The 21,279-nt window shown below is 36.1% G+C and overlaps 1 long non-coding RNA gene across 1 annotated transcript, besides 1 other annotated feature; it reads right to left on the bottom strand.

The window, feature by feature from the left end:
- Nucleotides 1-1,090: 1,090 nt before the first annotated feature.
- LINC02173 (long intergenic non-protein coding RNA 2173) lies at nucleotides 1,091-20,915 on the bottom strand. The gene is made up of 4 exons (NR_147150.1): nucleotides 20,785-20,915; nucleotides 19,838-19,927; nucleotides 5,452-5,528; nucleotides 1,091-1,313 (listed from the first exon to the last, which is right to left on the bottom strand). It is a non-coding gene; the product is annotated as a long intergenic non-protein coding RNA 2173 (long non-coding RNA).
- Nucleotides 8,995-10,194: an enhancer, noted in NCBI's record as "BRD4-independent group 4 enhancer chr4:107365502-107366701 (GRCh37/hg19 assembly coordinates)". NCBI's record gives its function as "activates an origin of replication core promoter dependent on BRD2, P300/CBP, MED14 and CDK7 cofactors, and independent of BRD4, by STARR-seq in HCT116 cells {active_cell/tissue: HCT116}" and the evidence as "EXISTENCE:reporter gene assay evidence [ECO:0000049][PMID:35650434]".
- Nucleotides 20,916-21,279: the final 364 nt, after the last annotated feature.

Genomic DNA, 21,279 nt, shown 5'->3' with positions numbered 1-21,279 from the left:
AACCATTTCTTAGACAATACAGAATAAAGGTTATACAGTGCTACATTTACTTATTTATTTGATGACTTACCTAGAGTTTATTGCTTTGAGAGCTGGATTGGAAACATCCTTGATAAATACCCAAGAGTGCCCTAAACAAATGGTGTAATTCATTCTGAGCTTTTGGTTATTTCTGACATCTTCAATTGACTTGGCTTTGGTCCTGATACTTAATACTTCATTCCATTTTTTTTGGCTGACACAAATAATGTATAAATACTCATAAACACACGCAAGTTATTTTAAATCCACGTTAGACCTGTGAATTGATTCAACAAAAGCAGGATTTTGTGGCATCTTGCCTTTAAATGCTTTTGTTGTGCCATGTATTAAATCACTAAGCATTTAACATTCCTCTAAGATACATGTCCAGAATCAAATCTCTTTCTGGTAATTGGTGCCAAGGTCAGTATTGAACAAGAGTTATGGACATGAGCACTGGGATTGAACTTTTGTTCCTTCACTTACTAGCTGTTAAGACTCAGGCAAATTCACTTCCATGTACCTCAGAGTCAATGTCACCTACTTCATAGGGCTGTTGTGAGAATCAAAAACAAAGATACCTATAACACATGTGAAAAATTATATGCCATATCCTCTGTTACTAAAAACATCAAGTTGTGGTACATTATTAGTGTTGTGAACTGTGTTATATAAGACTACTAATTTCTGTAGTTTTTGTTTGCTAAGAATGGGGCATGATTTGACCTGGAGTAGAACTGAATCTGTGCTATGACAAATTGTGGTTTATAGATACAAATGCATTTGATTATCCAATAACATCAAAATTTTTAACTTATGAAATGTTAATAAGTGAGCATCAACATTTTGAGTTTTTCAGTTAATTTTTTTTAATATTTGGTTTTTGAAATCTCAAAAAGCTATTTTTTCTCTACTGTTTTCTGAGACTCAAACTCCCCATTTGGCAATTACTCATCTTCAAACATTAGCAAAATTCAAACTGCTAGTTTGTCATCAATTTTGTTTTGTTTCCTTCTGTATATCATCTCATATTCAATACAAAAAATATTAACAATAAGAAAACATAGATTTTGTTAGTTCTGCTCAACCAGAATTTATTTAGCAGAATGTGGACACATTTTGATTAGGCATCTTTGATACATTTGTCAACTCTTCCTTCAGTTCTGGGACTGTTGATCCCTGCCTGTGTATTACCATCCATCACCCCTGTTCTTCAAAATGAACACATTTTGAAGAATTATGCCACCTAAGAAAAGTTACTCTGCTTCTTCTGTCAAGGGCCAAGAAGAGATCTGTAAGCCAGAAAAGAGGATTAGAGAGAAAGAAGAGAAAAATATTTGCTGTCACTGTTGAATGATAATCAGAACAAAGTACACATAAATGACATCTGAGGTTGAACTACTCTGGAAGGAAACGATATTGACCAAGTGACAAGTGAGATCACTTAGTTGTCATATACATCTCAATAGTTTTAAAATCATTTTAGAGAAACCTTTACCGAAAGGCAGCAAGGCAAGAATGCTTGGCAAATTGTTGGAGGTGCTTTATGCTTGCTTTGCTGTCATTAGTGCTTTTAATAACTGACTGGCCTGTAATGAATTTAACTTAACTTCACCTTCAAATAAGGTTTTCTGCCCCCACCACCTCTGCACTTTGAACGAATGTAAAAAGATACTCTTGTCCTCAATAAGTATTCCCTCCCCAATCTCAAAGATGACAGCTCACTGTGCATGTGCTCCTGTGACCCAACTGAATTCATTTTTCCCAAGTCCTATAACACAGGGGTACATTCATTTTTTTTCTCCTATATTCTGTGCTTTTATTAGCAGGAAAGTTTATATTAAAGAGTTTTCCATTTGTAGAGAATTTTGCTACTTAAAAATAAGTTTTCTTTCAAGTAAAATTTAAAAATAATAATGCTGAGCACTTACCATTATACTTGTTCTGGTATAATTATTAATAATGCCCCTTTTTATATTCAAATGCATCCCAGGTTGGGTGATCAATTAAGTGGTCACCATATTTATATAGCACCTACTAAGTGTTCTATGCAATTCACATAAGTTAACTGATTTAATCTTCACAATATCTCAATAAGATAGGTGATGGGCAGGCTTGGTGGACCATGCTTGTAATCCCATTATTTTGGGAGGCCAAGATGGGAGGGTCACTTTAGGCCAAGAGTCTAGACCAGCCTTGGCAACATAGTGAGACTCCATCTATAAAAAAATTTTTAAAAAATAGCCAGGCATGGTGGCAAATGCCTGTAGTCCTAGCTACTTGGAAGGCTGAGGTGGGAGGATTACTTGAACCCAGGCAACCAAGGCTGCAGTGAACTATGATTATGCCATTGACTCCCTCCAGCCTGAGTGACAGAGTGAGACACTGTCTTTATTTAAAAAGGGGGGGCATGGTATTAATAGATACTGTTGCTATTGCATTTAATAGGTGAGTAAATCAAGGCACAGGGTGGTTAAGTAAATTGCCTAAGATGAAACAGAAATAAGCAGAGAAGATAGAATTCAAACTCAAGCAATCTGGTTCCATATATCTGCAGTCTTATTCCTCATGCTATTTTGTACTGCATGAAGTCTGATACTTGTTCTGTTTTTCTCTTTGATATATTTTTTAAAGTCACTGTGGTCATAAAGACAACCTTTGGGTATCCCCTAGAAACAATTTGTACTCAAACTTAGGCCCCCAAAAGCTCTGACGCCTGGGGAGGTTTTGGTCCAAACCTTTGAAATTGGTCATCTGAATAAGAACCTTAGGAAATGGAAAAAGAAAGGTATAAAAGAAAGAATGGGGTGGGACAGGGAAGAAAAAAGGCACAAGTACCTTCATCAGACATCATTGCAGGAAACCAAGGATATATCCTCCCTGGAGCCATGTTGTAAAAAATGGGTGGTGGAAATCAGAGAAGAGGGTGAGTTGACATTTGGAATTTGGATATGAATGAGTTGCACAGCAAAGATAAAAATTCTCATGTTTAGGTAAAGATTATGATATTTGAGCCAGGAAAGCATTCACTACAACAAGATACTTTATAAATTTGACTTTTAAAATAAAAGGAGAGAGAGCTCTGCTTTCACTCCCACCACAGGAAGCCAAGGCCATATTTCTCAGTCTCTGTCAAGAAACACCCAGATATGTCAGCTCTGAGGTCTTGAGTCTCTTAAACCTGTTGCAGAAAGACAGATACATATCCAGAGACTTGTGTGAGGAGGACTTTGCAGCTTCTTTAAACTTGATCCAAGGAAGGATGAGTGCTATTCTGTTTCACTGAAATTCTTGTCTTAGCCTCTTGAGCTCACATTTCCAGACTGCTTTGGAAGTGTTTCTGTAGATACTTAAAAGTCCAAGAAGGGCATGATGTCCTCTGTTTTTCTCTAAGTCATATCTTCCCAAATCCTAATATAGTGTTACGATTCAGTGTCCCCAGTTAATGTAAATAAAATAACACCACAATTATGTCTTAAAATGTTAGATATAATTTATTCAGGAGTATATAGCTTTTCAGTTTTATTTTAAACAATCTTATTTTGTGTATTTTTGAATAAATATTTTGTCTGATTTTTCTTCCTTGCCAGATTCAGTACAATTGTTAATAATAACTGACAAGCGTATGGCACTGTGTTTGGAATTCAAACTTATTCTTAAACTTTAGACTTCATATTACCCTTTCAACATAATTATGAGGTGTGTTGAGGGTCAAGACCACCCCTGGGATTGGTGATTCGCTAGAAAGACTCATGGACTTCGGTATATAGTCATATTCATGGCTATGATTTATTACAACGAAAAGATACACTGAAAAATCAGCAAAGAGAAAAGTCACGTGGGGTGAAGTCTGGGGGAAACCAGGAGTGAGATTCTAGAATCGTCTCCCATTGGAACCACACAGTACATGCTTAAGTCCCCCATAATAAGTTGTGACAAGTGTGAAATATCTACCAGGGAAGCTTGTTAGAGACTCAGCACCAAGGTTTTTGTTTGGGGCTAGTCACGTAAGCACCCTCTGCCTGGCACATACACACATTCCAGACTCCCAGTAGGGAAGGAGGAGTTCAGCACAAACCATATTGTTCGTACAAGCATTTTTGGCACAGTGAGACACTCTCATGAGGAAATGGTGGGAATTCTTTTGAAATCCAAGTTTTCAGATGCCAGGCAAGGGCCAATTTTGTAAGTACCCTTTCTAAGGATAGTAGTCAGGCTTGCTATGTTAACTCTTTTCTGCACATGTCTCATAGTTTGGTTTTCCACAGGTAAAAGTAACTTAAATAAGTCAAATTATTTTCTCATCAACACGAGTTTATGGTTGGAACAAACTCCACTTATCCTATCTTCCAATCCAATATTTTTTCCAGTAGGTTATACAACTGTTCAGGAAAGTATCTCGTATCTGAGTAATTAAGACTGTTCCAAATAAATTGAAGTGACTGATAATCAAGGGTGCAATTCTAGCTTTTTGTCCTTTATATATGAACTGGAAATAATAATGCCCTCTGAATTAGCCCTTTTCATTATAACTTACAACAATGCTGGAAATATCCGACAATCTATACTGTTCAGCACAGTAGCCACTAGTAATATGTGACTACTGAGCACTTGAAATGTGGCTAGTGTGAATGAGAAACTACTTAATTTTGTTTATTTTAATTAATTTTAATTTCAATAGCCACCTGTGGCTAGTAGCTACCTAATGAAAGCACAGCCTCAGATAACTTAACTTACTTCATTAAAGTTAAGTACACTAAGATTCTCAGGTTGAATAGTTCCTGGAACACCAGAGTTACCTTCTGATTTCTTGAGGGCCAAACTAATAGCACAATATGGTCCCACAAATGTTTTGATATCTTGTGGTCTTAATCCAAACTTACAAAGTTTACCCAGAATAAAGAATATTCCATCACCATCAACTAGATTTTTTTAATTAAGCATTATTTTTAAAATAACCTAGTGTATGGAAGTTGGCAATGGTTCATCTGCACAAATGGTACTGATTGACAGTCCTCAGGAAAAGGTGCCTGCCATTTTGTAAATATCAGCTCACATATCTTTACAGTTACTGGTAGTTATGCCAGAAAAGAGAGAAGGGAGAAAAGGCAAGAGCAGTAAAAGTATTTAATGAAACAGATAATAAATTTTAACTTACTCCAAATATTGTGTTTGGCAAATATACTTTTACAATATTATATTGCAAAACTACAGTAGGAAATAATTTTGCTTATAAGCAAAGCATAATAAAAGATGATAGCATATCAAGTAAGCAGGATCATTTTTTAAATATTAGTCAATGCTCTATTTTTATTTTCTATGCCAATGTAAAAAATCACAAATTTTTCTTCAAGTTAGAAAACAAAAACAAAGGAATGACATCATGTGGCATATCCACTACTCCTGCATGGTATTATAAATCACACTCACCTTCCAAAAAAATACTTCCTTAGCCCTGTTGGAAATGCTTCTGACATCAACCTCAAATTCTTTCTTATATTTTATCTCTGGTTCAGGTTCAAAATGCAGAAGAGAAAAATAAAAACAAAATGGAGAAACTGAAGGTAAAAGAAAGGGCCTAAGATTGTTCTTCTGAGATTATTCTTCCTCACCAGAGTGAGGAAATGTTTCTATGAAAAAATATAGAAATATTGGTAGTGGAAAAAAGGACTTCCAAAACTTATGAAGTGAATTTGGTAGCCTAAGGAGAAAATAAACTGAAGTTTACATAATGCAATATATTTTTAAGGGAGAGGAAGGAAAAACTATACAAATTAATGTTCACCCTGTTGGTGCTAAGTTTGCTAATAACTGCAGTAGGGAATAAGAATAAAAAGGGAAAACATGACTAAATGTATTTTATTCTATGTATTCTTAAAGCCCTACAAAACAATATTACTCATATGAAAAATACTTTCTTACTAATTTTTCAGTATAGAAAGTGGCATTCAAAACTAGGAAGTTCAATTGTAATGACAGTCAAGTGGAATTTCATTTCTCACAGATGTAACACAATAGCATGTGGTATTAAAACCCAGAAATCTATGACAAGTATTAGAAAAGCTGAGGTTAAAACCAAAATTCTTTATGGCAGAATTATTTAGAATATTTAATATGTTCTCATGTATTGTAAATACTCAAGAGAGATATTTGAGTATCATTCCTTGGTAAACTTTTATGGGTAAATAACTATATGTTTTCCTTTGGAGTATATTCAAGGACTAGTGTTCTACAAGAAACATTTTGGAAAACATTGTTCTTATTTAATAGTTCCAAATCATTTTCATTGAAAAAGACTTTCAGCATCCTTTCTCACTTGCTGTATCTGGATATATTATCACAGAAGAAAAGTAAACATACAGCTAAGAAAGCTGTTGCATGTGTCCCTGAATGAAAATTTGCCCTATTAATTATGAGTTGGAAATCACTTAATGTTTTCAGCATGGCCAATGACTGAAAAAAAAAACCTTTTATTTGTAACAGTAGATAGTCTGATCCATAGCCATTAGGAGTGCGATATGGTTTGGCTCTGTGTCTCCACACAAATCTCACCTTGAATTATAATCCCCATAATCTCCATAATCCCTGTGTGTCAAGGGAGAGACCAGGTGGCAGTAATTGAATCATGGGGCAGTTTCCCCCATGCTGTTTTCATGATAGTGAGTGAGTTCTCACAAGATCTGATGGTTTTGTAAGTGTCTAGCATTTCCCCTGCTTGTACTCACTCTCTCTCCTGCCTCCCTGTGAAGAGGTGTCTTCCACTATAATTTTCAGTTCCCTGAGGCTTCCCCACCCATGTCGAACTGTGAGTCAATTAAACCTCTTTTCTTTATAAATCACTCAGTCTCAGGTATTTCTTTGCAGCAGCATGAGAATGAACTAATACAGTAAATTGATACCACAGAGAGTGGGGTGCTGCTATAAAGGTACCGAAAAATGTGGAAGTGACCTTGGTACTGGGCGGCAGGCAGAGGTTGGAACAGTTTGGAGGGCTCAGAAGAAGACAGGAAGTTGTGGGAAAGTTTGGAACTTCCTAGAGACTTGCTGAATGCCCATGAACAAAATGCTGATAGTAATATGGACAATAAAGTTCAGGCTTAGGTGGTCTCAGATGGAGATGAGGAACTTTCTGGGAACTGGAGTAAAGGTGACTCTTGCTATGCTTTAACAAAGAGACTGGCAGCATTGTGCCCCTGCACTGGAGATTTGTGGAACATTGAACTTGAGAGAGATTATTTAAGGTATCTGGCGGAACAAATTTCTAAGCAGCAAAGTGTTCAAGACGAAGCAGAGCATAAAAGTTTGGAAAATTTGCAGGCTGACAATGATATAGAAAAGAAAACCCATTTTCTGGGGAGAAATTCAAGCCAGTTGCAGAACCTTGCATAAATAATAAGGAGTTGAATGTTAATCATCAAGACAGTGGGGAAAACATCTCCAAGGCATGTCAGAGACCTTCATGGCAGCCCCTCCCACCACAGGCCTGGAGGCCTATTAGGGAAAAATTGTTTCCTGGGGTGGGTCCACGTTCCCCCTGCTCTGTGCAGCCTTGGGACAAGGTGATCTGCCTCCCAGCTGCTTCAGTTCCAGCCCTAGCTAAAAGGGGCTAAGGTACAGCTCAGGCCATTGTTTCAAAATGTGCAAGCCCCAAGCCTTGGCAGCTTCCATGTGGTGTTTGGCCTGCAGGTGTACAGAAGTAAAGAACTGAGGTTTGGGAACCTCCACCTAGATTTCAGAGGATGTATGGAAATGCCTGGAGGTCCAGGCAGAAGTTTGTTGCAGGGGTGGAGCCCTCATGGAGAACATCTGCTAGGACAGGGCAGAAGGGAAATGTGGGGTCAGATCCCCCACACAGAGTTCCCACTGGTGCACTGCCTAGTGGAGTTGTGAGAAGAGGGCCACTATCCTCCAGACCCCAGAATGGCACATCCACTGACAGCTGGCATGGTGCACCTGGAAAAGCCACAGGCACTCATGCCAGCCTGTGAAAGCAACTGGGAGGGGGACTGTACCCTGCAAAGCAGAGCTGCCCAAGGCCATGGGAGCCCACCACTTTCATCAGGGTGATATGGATGTGAGATACGAAGTCAAAAGAGATCATTTTGGAACTTTAAGGCTTAATGACTGCCCTATTAGATCTCAGACTTGCATGGGGCCTGCAGCCCCTTTGTTTTGGCCAATTTCTCCCATTTTGAACAGGTGTATTTACCCAATGCCTGTACCTCCATTGTATCTAGGAAGTAACTAACTTGCTTTCGATTTTACAGGCTCCTAAGTGAAAGGGACTTGCCTGTTCTCAGATGAGACTTTGAATTTGGACTGTTGCATTAATATTGAAATGATTTAAGACTTTGGGGGACTGTTGAAAGGGCATGATTGTGTTTTGGAATGTGAAGACAGGAGGTTTGGGAGGGACCAGGGATGGAATGATATGGTTTGGCTCTGTGTCCCCACCCAAATCTCACCTTGAATTGTAATAATCCCCATGTATCAAGGGCAGGACCAGGTGGAGGTAATTGGATCATGGGGGCCGTTTCCCCCATGCTGTTCTCATGATAGTGAATGAGTTCTCACAGATCTGATGGTTTTATAAGCATCTGGCATTTCCCCTGGTGTCACCCATTCTCTCTCCTCTGAAGAGTTGCCTTCCAGCATGGTTTTCAGTTTTCTGAGGCCTCCCCAGACATGTGGAACTGTGAGTCAATTAAACCTCTTTTCTATAAATTACCCAGTCTCAGGTATTTCTTCATAGCAGTAGGAGAATGAACTAATACAGAGTCTGACAACATTTTCTGCCCAATCTACAAAATCAAAAAATATGGCAACAGTTGCTTATAAATGACTGTGACATATGTAAATTATGTAAAGAGGTCCTGATAGATACATCATGTGTGGCAGAAACTGAAAAACTGTTTACTAAATCATTTCCCCTTTTGCATATTTAGAAAACTAGGATACATTTTCCATTTTCCTTTGCATTTGTGTATCATCTGACTAATTTAGTTGGTCAGATGTGGATAAATGTGGATAAAATAAACTAAATGTGGATAAAATAATGTGTATAATTTGTAGGGTTGGCCAAATGATCACACACTCTCTTTTCCTTAATTTACCAATAGGAGATGACACCCAGAAAGGCCTTGGAAAACATGAGTTAAACAAGTCTCCCTCAACCTGGGTCCCTGAATATTTGCTCCCTCTAATTTTGTGTGGAGCAGAATCCACCCTCTATAACCACCATCTCTTATTGAACTTTATATGAAAAAGGGAGAAATAATTGTATTAAGTCACTGAGATCTCCGGGTTATTCTGTTATAGTATCTAGCACTACTTTAATGACCAAAGAAGGATATGGGGTTGTTTGGACAAAACAGTAGCCTTGCTAAATTTAATTAAATTTCTTTTAAATTTTACCACATATTTTAATTTTTTAATCATGCTTCATATCTCTGTTTACTTATTGTTCATATATTTGGAGAGGCAATGAGAAAAAAGCAATGCATGTAGAGTGAGAAAGGCTGCCTTTTAATCTCAACTACTTACTAGCTGTGATTTTGAGTATGTGACTTTCACTTAACTGTCTGTCCCTGAATCATCTTTGACAGCTTGATTCCCTTTTCTAAAACATGCTAACCTCCCCACCTCCCACCACCTTCACACGCACACCTCACCCACACACACATCCCTAATGCATCCATTATGCTCTTTTGGACCTTTGACTCAGACCACATCTCCTGGGCCATAAAACAAACCACAACAAATTCAAAAGAATTTAAGTAATATGGAATGTCACCTTTGACCATAATGGAATCACACAAAAGATGAAAAAATGAAGGTCAACAGGAAAATCTCCAAACATGCAGAAATTAAACAACATACCTCTAAATGATTCATCGGTCAAAGAGAAATTGTCAAAGGAAATTTTTTAATGCATAGCATTGAATAAAAATGAAAATACAACATATCAAAGTATGTGAGATGCAGCTAAGCCAGTACTGAGGGAGCTACTTATAGCACTAAATACGTACATTGAAAACAAACAAAGGTCACAATTTAATAATCTAAGTTTCACTTCAAAAAAACTAGAAAAGAAAGAGCAATGTAAAGCTGAAACAAACAGTGGAAAAGAAATTTTATAGATAAGAGCAGAAATAAATATAATTGAAAATAGGTAAAACTAGAGGTAATCAATAAAACTAAGAGCTGGTTCTTTAAAAAGGATCAAAAAATTGATAAACCTGTAGCAAGACTGACAAAATAAAAAAGATAAGATTCAAATTACCAATATTAAAAATGAAATGAGTGATGTTATTACAAATCTTGCAACTATTAAATGAATAATATGGGAATGCCAAGAATGATTTTATGCTCATACATTTGACTACTTAGAAGAAATGAACTAATTTATTGAAAACCACAAATTACTAAAACTCAACCAACATGAAATACATAATCTGACTAGTTTTATAAACATTAGATAATAAATTGAATTTGTAATTAAAAAGCTCCCAAGAAAGTAACTTTTATTCCAGATGGTTTCACTAGAGATTCTGTCAAACATTTAGAGAAAAATTAACACCAATTTTATACAATCTCTTCCTGAAGACAGAAGAGAGAACACTTCCCAACTCATTTTACAAGGACAGTGTTACTATGTACAAAAAGCAGACCAAAAAACATAAAAAAAAAGTTATTGATCAATATCTCTTGTGAACTTACACATTAAAACAAATTATCAGCAAAGTAAATCTGAAAATGTATAGGAAGAATTAGGCTGGTTGCCATGGCTCACACCTATAATCCCAGTACTTTGGGAGGCTGGGGCAGGTGGATCGCTTGAGCCTAGTAGTTTGAGATCAGCCTGCACAATATGGTGAAACCCTGTCTCTACAAAAAAATAAAAATAAAAAATTAGCCGGGCATGGTGGGGCACGCCTGTGGTTCCAGCTATGCTGGAGGCTGAGGAGGGAGTATGGCTTGAGCCCAAGAGACAATGAGCCATGATCACACCACTGCACTCCAGTCTGGGTGACAGAGCTAGTCCCAAGAGAAAAAGAGAAAAAAAGAAAAAGAAAAGAAAAGAAAAGAAAAAGAGAAAGAGAAAGAAAGAGAGAAAGAGAAAGAAAAGAAAAGAAAGGGAGGGAGAGAGGGAGGGAGGGAAGGAAGGAAGGAAGGAAGGAAGGAAGGAAAGAAGGAAGAAAGAAGAAAGAAAGAAAGAGAAAGAGAGAAAGAGAAGAGAAGGAGGGAGGGAGGAGGGAGGGAGGAAGGAAGGAAGGAAGGAAGGAAGGAAAGAAGAAAGGAAGGAAGGAAGGGATTATACACTATCACCAAACGGGATTTATTCCAGGTATGCGAGGCTGGTTCAACATTCAAAAATTAATCACTGTAACCTGGTTACAACAAGGTAAATTCAAAAGATCATATAATTATATAACGTTATTATATGCAGAAAAGGCATTTGATAGAATCCAACACCCATTAATCATAAAAACTGCCAGCCAAGTCAAGAATAGAGGGATTTTCTCTCAACTTGATAAAGAGAATCTAAAAAATGCTAGGTCATACTTAATGGTGAAAGATTGAATGTTTTTTCCCTAAGGTCAGGTACAAAGGAAGGATCTCTGTTTCACCACTCTTATTCAACATAATACTGCAAATTCTAGCCACCACGGTAAGGCAAGATAATGAATAAAAGAAAAAACTGTCTCAATTTGCACATGACTTAACTGTTTACATAGAAAATCTCAAGAACTCTACTAAAAATGCTCATATAGACCTATGGCTACCATCTAAAACTATCTTCTAGATACAGAGATACTAGCAAATAGCCCTTCCCTTTACCCTTCCTCTTGTCCCTCTTCCACCATCCCAGTGACTAAGTATAGGACTATGCCTAGCTCCAAAAAGTGGATTAACAAAGGTCACTCCCAGAAGACAGTTCTCACTAAAAATTAACAAAAGAACATTCATAAAGGGATTGTTTTACTACTCTACTTTTAACATACTTTGAGCATTAGGACTTGTTTATCCTTTAATACTCAACAATATTAACAAAAATCCACATATAGAGTGATGATTAGACCAACTGAACTAGTGTAAATGACGGGCATAGAACCCTTCTCCCTGCATACTTCCTAGAAATACTAGATGTTTCAAATAGGACATAAGTTTTCCACTCTATACACAGTAGCATTGAATAAATGATGCATACATATAACACAGGTTATAATTTGAAAGTGTTTTCTAAAAATAAACATTATGGCCTAAAACCCTTCCCCTTTCTACTTTATCAACCCAGTGGACAGGTATAAGCATCTGTAGTACTTAGAGGGGATTTTAACAATTACACTTCTGTGTTTTTAATAACCGTCTTCCCTGTGAATTTTAACACAAAGTGTACTCCCATGTATTACTTTACTGACTCTCCTTTTGTCACACACTGACAACATCTCTAACATCTAGAAAGACTAGATGTTGTAAATTAGGACTTGTTTGTTTGCTTATATACGCTATATACACAGCACTGTAAAAGGAAATGCAGACATAAGGGCCAATGGTCACTTGTGCCTTGCCATAAACACACTGGTATAAAACTCTTTGCACTTTCTACTCCTCCTTCCTCCTTGAACCAGCATAAATATGTGTACTGATCAGAGAAGTGGTTTGATTAATTTTTAAAAGACAACATTTCATGTGAATCAAAAGGATATCTGCAAAGTGTGTTATTCACTACCTCTATTTTTAACAATTTTGTGCACTTCTAAACATCTGGAAAGACTAAATGTTTTAAATAAGGACTTCAGTTTGTCCACTGTATACAAAGTAGTGTTGAGTAAACCTGTGTTTATTGTGGACAAAGCTCATTATTTTGCAACATCTAAGCTTTATAAATGTCCTGAGGTGACAATGTAGGTTAAAAAGTAGAGCTAGTGAATTAGCAATTTATAAATATATTTTTGTTATAATTGATAGAAAAGATGCACCTTGGACATGAAATTGTTAAACCACCTCTGAGCAGTGTATAGCAAGACTTGCTCACTAGGTTGGCAGCAGAAGGGCACAAGGACGTATAAAGGGAGAAATGTATACAGATGTATATATATTTACATTTTGACAATAGCCATTGATGTATGTGCAATTCTTTTGGCTGTGCTATGGGAATAGGTTAAGTAATTCAATGACAACACACCTTGCTAATATTTTAATGGTACAGATCTGCTAATGAATTCTCTTAGAAACATTATACTTAATGTATTCTGTTGCTGTATGTTTCATTATATATATATACACACACACACACACACACACATATATATATATATATATATATTTTTTTTTTTTTTAATCGAAACAGGGTTTCTCCATGTTGGCCAGGTTGGTCTCAAACTCCTGGCCTCAAGTTAAGCCACCTGCCTCAGCATCCCAAAGTTCTTGGATTACAGTTTATGTCTCATTTTAAATTGAGCATTAAGGGAATGCAGTATTTAAATCAGAACTCTGCCAACGCTTTTATCTAGAGGCATGTTGTCATTTTTGTCATCCATGAAATTTTGGCCCAGGGAAGGCAGGATTACATTTTTTTCTAAAATAGGTGTAGTTGGTGAGTTGGTGTAGTGTATTTTTGGCTATCGAAATACTCATATAGCTTTGGGATTTCAAATTGGTAAATATTCATGATGTGTGAAAAAGCATGATACATACTGTATGATCTCAATCCCATAAAATAGGATATTTTGTCTACATACACACAGGACATAGAAGGACATGTCAAACTGTAAACCACTTGTTATCATAGAGGACTTTGTTCTTTGCCTCTTGTGTTTTTCAGTTTCCTGAAATGCACATATTAACTTTTAAAAAATAAATTTTTTTTAAAAAAAAGCAAACCCCAAAAGCTTTACAGAAAAAAAAAATTCATTTAGCAAGGTTGCTGAATACAAGATCAACACACACACACACAAAGTGTATATTTCTGTTAATGAATTAACATTGAAAAGAAGAAAATCAAAATTTAAAACAGAATACTATTTCCAATCATTCCAAAGAAATGAAATACTAAATGAAATACTAAAGTATACACTGAACAAACCTGTAAAAATTATATGCTGAAAATTACAAAACACTAATGTAAAAAATCAAAAAAGTACTAAATAAATGAAGAGATATACCATATTCATGGATTTGAAGGCTCACATAATAAAGATGTCAATTCTTCCCCAAATTGATCTATAGGCTTAATGTAATTCCTATCAAAGTCCCAGCAAGGTTTTGGCACACACAGCCAAGCTTGTTCTCAATCATGACAAGGAAAAAAGTGGGAGGGAACACTCTGACATTGAGGCTTTCCATATAGCTACAGTTAAGAATGACAGTGCAGTATTAACGGTTGGATAAACATGTAGATCAACAGAACAGAACAGAGAACCCAGATCCACACAAATTTTTTTTTACAATGGTACAAAAATAATTCAAAGGTGAAAAAAGTCTTTTCAACAAATGGTGCTGGAGCAATTGATAGGCAGAAAAATGAACCTAACCTAAACCTCACACCTATAAAAAAATTAATTGAAAGTATATAATGCTCTTATATTTAAAAGTTAAACTATAAAACTTGTCAAAAAAAAGCATGAAAAAATCTTCAGGATCCAGGGTCAAGCAAGAAGTTTTTAGACTTTACACCAAAAGGACAATCCAAAAAGGAAAACTTGTTAATGAGGTCTCATCAAAATTAAAAACGTCAGTCTTGTAAAAGACCATAAAAATAAGATGAAAATACAAGCTACAGACTGGAAGAAAATATTTGCAAACCACATGTCTGACAAAAGAATAGTATCCAGAATATACAAAGAATTCTGAACACTCAATTGTAAAAGAAAAAAAATTGACAATCCAACTAGAAAATGGGCAAGAGATATAAACTGGCATTTCACCAAGGAGGATATATAGATGATAAATAAGTATATGAAAAAATGTTCATCATGATTAGCCATTAGGAAAATCCAAATTAAAACTACAATGAAATACCACTACACACCTATGAGAATAGCTAAAATAAAAATTACTGACAAGACTAAACACTGGCAAGGATGCAGAGAAACTGGATCACTCACTCATACATTGTTCATATGTATGAATGGGAATGTAAAATGGTGCAGTCACTCTTAAAAGGTTAAGCAATTTCTTATGAAATAAAATGTGTACTTACTATATAAACCAGAAATTTCACTCTTGGGCATTTATTGCAGATAAATGAAAAGTTATATTCACACAGAAAATCTATACATGAATGTTCATTGCAGTTTTATTTTTAATAGCTAAAAAGTAGACGCTGGGTGCAGTGGCTCATGCCTGTAATCCCAGCACTTTGGGAGGCCAACACGGGCAGATCACAAGGTCAGGAGATTGAAACCATCCAGGTTAACATGGTGAAACCCCGTCTCTACTAAAAAAAAAAATAAAAAATTAGCCAGGCATGGTGGCATGCGCCTGTAGTCCTAGCTACTTGGTAGTCCCAGCTACTCGTGAGGCTGAGGCAGGAGAATCGGTTGAACCCAGGAGGTGGAGGTTGCAATGAGCCCAGATTGCGCCACTGCACTCCAGCCTGGGTGAAAGAGCGAGACTCCGTCTCAAGAAAAAAGGTAGAAAAAACTCTGATATTATTTTACAAGTGAATGGTCAACAAACTATGGTACATCGATACCATGTAATATTACTCAGTACTAGAAAAGAATGAACTAGTGATACTTGCAACAACTTAGATGAATCTTCAGAGTTTATGCTGAGCAATAAAAAATAAACCCAAAAGATTATATACTGTATAATTTCAAATACACATACATGTATTTATGCATATACATTTATATATGCATATATATATTTTGAAATGATAAAATTTTAGAAAAGGAGAGTATATTAATGGTTGCTAGGGTTTACGGACAGAATTGGGTAGGGGTGAGAGAAGAAAGGGGTCAGGAAAGGATGAGAGCAAAGCAGGTAGAGTTATTAAACAACAGCCAACAGGAGGAATCCTAGTAATGGCGGAATGGTTCTGTATCTTGATAGTGGTGAGGGATACATGAACCTACACATGTGATAAAATTATATAAAATTAAATGCACACACACACACAAATGAATACAAGTAAAACTGGTCAAATTTAAATAAGATCAGTGGATTAGATCCATATCAACAATATACCAGTTGTGATATTGTGTCATAATTTTGCAAGATGTTACCACTGGGTAAAGGGTACATGAACTTGCTAAGTTTTATTTCTTACAATTGTATGTCAATCTACAAATTTCTTTTAGCTTTTTTTTTTTTTAATGGAGTTTCATTCTTGTTGCCTGGGCTGGAGTGCAATGGCGCGATCTCAGCTCACTGCAACCTCCGCCTCCCAGGTTCAAGCAATTCTCCTGCCTCAGCCTCCCAAGTAGCTGGGATTACAGGTATGCACCACCGTGCCTGGCTAATTTTTTTTCTTTTTTTGTATTTTTGGTAGAGACAGGGTTTCACCATGTTGGCCAGACTGGTCTTGAACTCCTGACTTCAGGTGATCCACCCACCTCAGCCTCCCCAAGTTCTGGGATTACAGGTGTGAGCAACTGTGCCCAGCCAATCTACAAATTTCTTAATCAAAATTTCAATTCATAAAAAGCACTATCTTGCTACTAATAGTCACTGTTTCTCTACCACCAAATCAGCAACACCTAGACTGACCAACCATCTCAGTTTGGCTAAGACTAAGGGATTTCCTGGGGTGCAGCACTTTCTGTTTTAAGATCGGGGTAATCCCTATGTAAAAAAACCCTAAATATTCCATGCACAAAATACAAATAAATAACATTAGCGAATAATGATCAAATGCAGCAAAGCAGCAGCATACAAAATCAACATGAAAAAATCAGTTGTGTGTCCATGCACTAGCAATGAACAATCTAAAAATGAAATTAAGAAAACAATTCCCTATATAATAGCATTAAAAAGATAAAATACTGGCCGGGCATGGTAGCTCACACCTGTAATCCCAGTACTTTGGGAGGCCGAGGCCAATCAGTCACCTGAGGTCAAGAGTTTGAGACCAGCCTGGCCAACATGGTGAAATCCTGTCTGTACTAAAAATATAAAAAATTAGCTGGGCATGGTGGCACATGACTGTAATCCCAGCTACTCGGGAAGCTGAGGCAGGAGAATTGCTTGAACCTAGGAGGCTGAGGTTGCAGTGAGCTGAGATCATGCCACTGCACTCCAGCCTGGGTGACAGAGTGAGACCCTGTCTCGATAATAATAATAAAGTACTTAGGAATAAATGTAACCAAGAAGGTGAAAGGTATACACTGAAAACCAGAAAACCTTGCTTAAAGAAATTAAAGAAGACAAATAAATGGACTATATCTGATACCAATAGATTGAAAGAACTGATACTGTTAAAATGTTCTTACTACCCAAAGCAATCTACAGATTGAATGTAATTCTTATCAAATCCCAATGGCATTTTTTTGCAGAAATGAAATATAAAAAAAAAATCCATTCTAAAATTCACATAGAATCTCAAGGAATACCAAATAGCCAAGATAATTTTAGACAAGAAGAACAAAGTTGGAGTACTCACACTTCTGATTTCAAAGCACATTACAAAGCTACAGTAATCAAAACAGCATAGTGTTTGCATAAGACAGATACACAAACCAATATAACAAAATAGCCTAGAAATAAGTCTTTTATTGTGTATGGTCAAATGATTTTAAACAAGGATGCCAAGAATACTCAATTGGGAAAGGACAGTCTCTTTGACAAATGGTGTTGGGAACACTGGGTATCCACATGCAAAAGAATGAGGCTGGACCCTTATCCAGCACCATATACAAGAATTAACTATTTGCAACCTTCCCTTGCCTCCACCTTTCTCCAGAAAGAGCTAGGTAGACAATCCTTCTTCTTTACTCTCTGAACTTATGGAGATGGTAAATTTGTTTTTCAATAAAAATACAGACAGACAGAGATAGATAGATAAACAGATAAATAAATAATCTCCTACTGGACTGTGAACTCTTACAGGAAGAAGAGTCTTTATTGCTCATGTTTGTATTACCAGTTCACAAAATGATTGTTTAATGAATAAGTATATGAATTGAGGAAAATTAGAACCAAAGTATCAAAAATAAGTAGAATTTCCTTCATAAAGGATTTTCCACATCTACCTCTAGATATAACAACTGCTCTTACATACTCTATCTTCTATGACAAGTAAGGTAAGTTTTAGAGGATCTCAAGGCTAATTTTTCAAGATGCATTTCATAGAGCAAATATATGTCTGGACACAGCTGGATGAACAAACTGGACTCTTCTCACCCTTCCCTGCCCCATCCTGTGACAAAAGTTGTAATGGTGTACCTTCTCCTTTGCCTACATTTTCCTTCCACATTCTGTAAAATGATTAGACCATATTATGAATTAATCACTTTCCAAATTTCCTGTTCTTAAAAAATTAAAAAGTGTGATTTTAGTTAGAAAAAAGAAGAGAAAAAATTGTCTCATTTTCTACAAAAGTTGTATATGAGTTTAAAATTTCTTATGATCAAATTCTATAAACAGAAAAGTTATTCCTTCAGGGCTCAGGGCTTACATTCTTTCTCTGAATCAGGTTAGAATTAATGGCTAGCGTTTTTTCTTAACCCTATAGAATTATTTCTTTAAATGACATGCTATTAGACTCTTACCAGCCAGATCTTAGGTGAGGAATTTTTAAATTTCACAATCTGATAATAAAATGGAATTATAAAAAAGATTCAATTTGGAGTTTTTATTTAACTCCCTATTAAAAATGTGTAAAAACACTTTTTTCCTGTGTTAAACTTTAGAAAAGGTACCAGAGTTTTTGCTTGATACATAACATAATGAATATATCAAGGCCAATGGTATCAGAGAAATATGATTATAAACCTAAAACCTACCCCAAATCTCAAATCTATAAATTGCAAATCTACCACTAATTAGCTGTTGACCCCAAGGAAATTTATTCACCTTATTTGGGCCTCTATTTCTTCATCAATAAAATATATTTGATAATATCAATAATATTATTATGAAAAGTGCTGTAGTACACATAAAGCATATAGCACAGTGCTTAGCACAATAGATGAATATTACATTTTATTAAATTTTACTAAAACTCATGTACCGGGAACTAAATTTCCTAATAAAAAAATAACTAACAGAAATAAACTGTCAACAGCTGAAACAGGGATAAATATATTATGTGCCATTTTTGTTTTATCTTGACATAAATTGGCTGAAATAGTGCCATATAGTCAACACTAGTTTTTTTATTACCACTCTTTTAAAAATAACTGACAGAATATTTTAGTTTACATGTCAAGAGGAAAAATCAACTGGCTATTCAAAGTGACTGTCATGTTTCCAAACTGTATTTTAAAAGCCTATCCAATTTGAATTTGCATTTCATTCATTTTGTTTTAGAGCACAAAGTAAAAGCTTTAATATAATCAGCAACAACTCTCTTTTGAGCCCCAAATTACTGTCCTTTGCCTTCTTGTATTACAGCAAAAGTTTATTAACTTTTCAGGCCCTTGAGTGTACTGGATATATTGCCAATACTGGCCTCAAAAATAGCCTGCTTCAGTTTGTACCTTAATGTTAACACATGATAATGATAAACCTGGGGAGTAGGGGGATAGAGAGAGAGAAAGAGAGAGAGAGAAATAGCCCTAGAGAAATTTGGTGGATTTCTTGACCAACCTTTGGCAAGTTGAAAAGAAAACTTTGGGGATTTGAAGTTTTGTTCCAGGGAACTTACGTGTGCTGAAGCTGATACCTGGGATTCTGAGCCATTCTCTCCAGCAGTTAAATATGTTTGAAGAATTGTGGCTCTCTCATGACACGACAGCTTTAAAAAATAAAGAGAAACAGGATTTTAACTAAATAAGAAAATATTTACTACTCATTTTTAAGAAAAGGAAGTGTTTTGAAATAATCTTGAAAAACAACTGTACATAAAATTATTTATTTTTTACAAAGAATTCTACTCTATCATTCTGTCAGAGAAGTGATAGTTCTTTTTAGGATAAGTGGAAGCGTAGCTACTTAGTGTCAAATATCTACAAATACGCTATTAAAAATCAGACTGTCAGAGCTCATTAGTTAGGGTTCTGCTTCTCTAACATGAAGTTCTATATTTGTTTTCTACCAGTAGTACTTTCTCTTCTTCAATGCTTCTGTAGCTACAGAAAGAATAAAACATGTACAAGACCAGGACTCTGTCATTATCCTCTAATACATCCTAAAAACACATTATAAATATCTTTCTTTAATTTTGCATGTGCATAGCAGATCTGAATCCCAAGAGAGTAGAAGGCACATAACAGGGAACACACATGCACAAATCCTCTAAAATATGCTTACAACCACACTATCATTCTACCATCCTTACTGCAACTCTTGTAACACCTTCAGTCCAAACTCTGGTGTAGTCATAGGCGTAATTCCATGTTAAACTTTGTTCCAAAACCAGATATGGCCATGTTGGCTCCTAACTAGTTGTTCTAGTTACATATATTCCCATGAAATGCTGGTATTCCACTAGCTAAGTGGATCCAAATGCTTCAGAAAGTATTGAATTTTTTTCAGGTCACAGGAGTAGGGGGAGAACTGCTAACAAATAGAATTTTCTCTATGTTTCACATTCCTCAGCTGTTTTTTCATATACTTTTGGAATCTAATATTTACCTACTGTGATATTCTCACCATATTGATCCTTTTAGCAGTTTCTGGAATAAGCTACATTTTCTTTTATACTTCTTCATCTTTGCACACACTATTCCCTTTCCCTAAAATGTTCTATTTTCCTTTCTTATTTTCCCACCCTCTCTTGTTCTAGCAAAATCCTTCCCATTCTTCAAATGACAGAATAGATGCTGTTTTACCCCAGCCTCCTTTTCTGACCAAACCTTTCATCACCACAAATGTGGTTCAGCTATCTGTCTCAGATGTTCATTGGACCAGATGTATCTGTGTACAGCAGCATGATTCTTCTGTGATGTCACTACCTGCTTATTACAGTTTTCAACAGATGGCAAGCTCCAAGATGATACTGAGGAGTGGTGTCCTCAAGAGCTATTTATATAATACAGTCACTCAGTTATGTGATACAGTGGTCTTTTAAGAGATGTTTGTTGGGCTAGGCACAGTGGCTCATGCCTGTAATCCCAGCACTTTGGGAGGCCGAGGCGGGCACATCAC

Source organism: Homo sapiens, chromosome 4 (genome assembly GCF_000001405.40).
Source record: "Homo sapiens chromosome 4, GRCh38.p14 Primary Assembly".
In the NCBI taxonomy this organism is placed as follows: Eukaryota; Metazoa; Chordata; class Mammalia; order Primates; family Hominidae; genus Homo; species Homo sapiens.
Note: the sequence above shows the minus strand (reverse complement) of the source record. Positions and strands in the feature narration are given on the sequence as shown.